Raw genomic sequence first — 4596 nt, 5'->3', positions numbered from 1 at the left:
TCCCTCAAGAGGCAGGAACTTGTCTCTAGGCAATGCTGACATTCATTGTGATGCTAGCCAGAGTTCACAATGAGAACTGGTACCCTGAGACTAGTGCATATGCATTCCCGGGGCAGGTACAAGTGCATGGCTGTCAGAGCTGTCAGCCTGCCTAAGCAGAGAAAAAATGGTACAGGTAAAACCGGTCTGGTGTTGTGAAAATGTTGCCTGCTAGAAGCCATGGTCAGACTCTACAGTCTCGACCTCAGGGCCCCTTCAGGCCATCTGCATGGTTGAGACCGGCTGGAGGAGGAGGCATTTTGAGACTGTGAGGTGGTGGCTGGAAACTGCTCTTCCTACTCCATTCCCAAAGGATGCTTTTTGCAAGAATCGGGTCTCATGGGAATTGGAATTTGGTCTGGTGTGTTGCTGAGGGTTCTTTGGGTGAGAGAATTATACGTGAGACCCCAGAGATGGGTGCCAATGAAAGATGGCTGGGCTATTTACCTCACTGTCTCTCTTCAGCCTGGGCCTTGATGGGGCCCTCTGCAAAAGGCAAAAACCATGACAAAGAGAAGTCCAACATGGGTCAGTGTTCTCACTTCGGTCTGGTCTCTCACGGGTGCAGATGAGGTTGAGACAATGTATCAGATGCCCTCTGTGGTGATAGCAAGCCTGAAACTGACCAGCAGTGCATTTGTAGGGTACTGTGGATTCTCTATGAAAGAAAAGAAACATCAAAGCTCACCTCAGAGAATGACCTGTTTTGTGCTGGAGTCCAAGCAATGTTCAATGTTTCCAGGCAGAGTACCCAAAAGCCTCCTGAAAAGTGCAAACAACCTCAGTACTCACAATGAGACCAAAAACCACAACCCGGAGGGAGTCAGCCTACCTGAAGTTCTTTTCATCCTTGAAATCCCTGGCAGCCAATAGATCTGTGGTGAGAGGCAGTCCCATCCAGCAACAGCCCAGTGAAAGACCTTGTATACAAAGAGAAAGGACTTGCATATGCAATGAAACAGAGGCTAGATTTCCAGGCAAAAGCCCAACATAGTTGCCTGCTTTTTATGCTACAGGAATCATGCATCCCTCCAGTAAAAGTGAGAGAATAAGAATTTCTTTGTTGGTGGCTGTAATGAAAATTTACAGTGTTAAAATCATCACATCTGCCCAGCCTTTAAAACGTGACAGTGTTTAGAAGAAAACACTCATGCATTGGATTCCCATGAAGGTCGTCCTCCATGAACTGTGAATTGCTTAGTGTGGAAAGTGTGAAGCCAGACCCAGGAAATCCTAGGCCATGAGGAACATGGAAGTCAGGAAAAGAAGAGACAAGTGTGCAGGGCACATCCCACCTACCATCAATACATCCCACTCTCATTTGGCTCAGGGTATGAGAGCTCTCAAATTGGGAGTTTGTTAGAATGCCCTCAACTTGCACTCCAAATGTTCCCTGAACATTGTATTACTCCCACCTGAACACCGGGCCATAATGTGAACTGCTTCTGCAATTAAAGGAATGTGGGGATGCAATAGGAAGCAGCTTCTGCGTCATCAGTCTTCACGTTTTTTTTGCGGGAGAAAGTGCGGGAGTCTATTTACGCCTCACCAGATTGTATCCTCACCCATATTTTACCTTCTTTCTGCTCATACTCTCTGTCCTAGAATGAAATCACAAGTTGATGGAGGAGTGCCACATGACGACATGAAGCCTCTGCTTGTCTGGGAACCAAATTCAAAGTAAATTCAAAGGGCCCTTCAGATAGTTCTGCTAGTTTCTCTCCCTGGGTCTGCCGCAGGACAATGAAACACAGAGATATTTGCTTTGGAGTGTGATGCGCTGTCTCCTAATTCACTGAGAATTCATACTCCACGGAAAAATAACGGAGATGGAGCCCTGCAACCCAAGCAGAGCTACACCAACAGGCCACCAAAAGGTTTGGAGATTCAAAAAGAGGAAGTGTTGCCGTGCGTTATCCACATTCCATTAAGCAGACTCCACTTACAGCCACACACAAACACATAAACACACACACACACACACACAAACACACAAAGCCACGCAGATATGCAGACATCCAACACTTTCAACATTTCCACAGAAACACACAGCACGGCAGCTTCTGAGTTTGCGTGCTTCTGCAGGAAGCCCTAACTGAAAGAGAGGAACTTTGGGGAACACAGGTGGGCTGTACCTAGAAATCACAGTGGGGTAAGTTTCTTTTTTTTATTGTACTTTAAGTTTAAGGTACATGTGCACAATGTGCAGGTTTGTTACATATGTATACATGTGCCATATTGGTGTGCTGCACCCATTAATTCATCATTTACCATTAGGTATATCTCCTAATGCTATCCCTCCCGCCTCTCCCCACCCCACAATTCCCAGTATGTGATGTTACCCTTCCTGTGTCCACGTGTTCTCATTGTTCAATTCCCACCTATGAGTGAGAAAATGCGGTGTTTGGTTTTTTGTCCTTGTGATAGTTTGCTGAGAATGATGGTTTCCAGCTTCATCCATGTCCCTACAAAGGACATGAACTCATCATTTTTTATGGCTGCATAGTATTCCGTGGTGTAAATATGCCACATTTTCTTAATCCAGTCTATCATTGTTGGATATTTGGTTTGGTTCCAAGTCTTTGGTATTGTGAATAGTGCCGCAGTAAACAAACGTGTGCATGTGTCTTTATAGCAGCATGATTTACAATCCTTTGGGTATATACACAGTAAAGGGATGGCTGGGTCAAATGGTATTTCTAGATCTAGATCCCTGAGGAATCGCCACACTGACTTCCACAATGGTTGAACTGTTTACAGTCCCACCAACAGTGTAAAAGTGTTCCTATTTCTCCACATCCTCTCCAGCACCTGTTGTTTCCTGACTTTTTAATGATCCCCATTCTAAATGGTGTGAGATGGTATCTCATTGTGGTTTTGATTTGCATTTCTCGGATGGCCAGTGATGGTGAGTATTTTTTCATGTGTTTTTTGGCTGCATAAATGTGTTCTTTTGAGAAGTGTCTGTTCATATCCTTTGCCCACTGGTTGATGGTGTTGTTTGTTTTTTTTCTTGTAAATTTGTTTCAGTTCATTGTAGATTCTGGATATTAGCCCTTTGTCAGATGAGTAGGTTGCAAAAATTTTCTCCCATTCTGTAGGTTGCCTGTTCATGCTTATGGCAGTTTATTTTGCTGTGCAGAAGCTCTTTAGTTTAATTAGATCCCATTTGTCAATTTTGGCTTTTGTTGCCATTGCTTTTGGTGTTTTAGACATGAAGTCCTTGCCCATGCCAATGTCCTGAATGGTATTTCCTAGGTTTTCTTCTAGAGCTTTTATGGTTTTCATCTAATGTGTAAGTCTTTAATCCATCTTGAATTAATTTTTGTATAAGGTGTAAGGAAGGGATTCAGTTTCAGCTTTCTACATATGGCTAGCCAGTTTTCCCAGCACCATTTGTTAAATAGGGAATCCTTTCCCCATTTCTTGTTTTTGTCAGGTTTGTCAAAGGTCAGATAGTTGTAGATATGCGGCATTATTTCTGAGGGCGCTGTTCTGTTCCATTGGTCTATACCTCTGTTTTGGTACCAGTACCATGCTGTTTTGGTGACTGTAGCCTTGTAGTATAGTTTGAAGTCAGGTAGCGTGATGCCTCCAGCTTTGTTCTTTTGGCTTAGGATTGACTTGACTATGCAGGCTCTTTTTTGGTTCCATATGAACTTTAAAGTATTTTTTTTTCCAATTCTGTGAAGAAAGTCATTGGTAGCTTGATGGGGATGGCATTGAATCTATAAATTACCTTGGGCAGTATGGCCATTTTCATGATATTGATTCTTCCTACCCATGAGCATGGAATGTTCTTCCATTTGTTGGTATCCTCTTTAATTTCATTGAGCAATGGTTTGTAGTTCTCCTTGAGGACATCCTTCACATCCATTGTAAGTTGGATTCCTAGGTATTTTATTTTCTTTGAAGCAATTGTGAATGGGAGTTCACTCATGATTTGGCTGTTTGTCTGTTATTGGTGTATAAGAATGTTTGTGATTTTTGCAAGTTGATTTTGTATCCTGAGACTTTGCTGAAGTTGCTTATCCACTTAAGGAGATTTTGGGCTGACATTATAGGGTTCTCTAGATATACAATCATGTCATCTGCAAACAGGGACAATTTGACTTCCTCTTTTCCTAATTGAATGCCCTTTATTTCCTTCTCCTTCCTGATTGCCCTGGCCAGAATTTCCAACACTGTGTTGAATAGGAGTGGTGAGAGATGGCATCCCTGTCTTGTGCCAGTTTTCAAAGGGAATACTTCCAGTTTTTGTGCATTCAGTATGATATTGGCTGTGGGTTTGTCATAGATAGCTCTTATTATTTTGAGATATGTCCCATCGATACCTAATTTATTGAGAGTTTTTAGCATGAAGGGTTGTTGAATTTTGTCAAAGGGCTTTTCTGCATCTATTGAGATAACCATGTGGTTTTTGTCTTTGGTTCTGTTTATATGCTGGATTACATTTATTGATTTTCATATGTTGAACCAGCCTTGCATCCCAGGGATGAAGCCCACTTGATCATGGTGGATAAGCTTTTTCATGTGTTGCAGGATTCGGTTTGCCAG

Source organism: Homo sapiens, chromosome Y (assembly GCF_000001405.40).
Source record: "Homo sapiens chromosome Y, GRCh38.p14 Primary Assembly".
Lineage (NCBI taxonomy): Eukaryota > Metazoa > Chordata > Mammalia > Primates > Hominidae > Homo > Homo sapiens.
Note: the sequence above shows the minus strand (reverse complement) of the source record.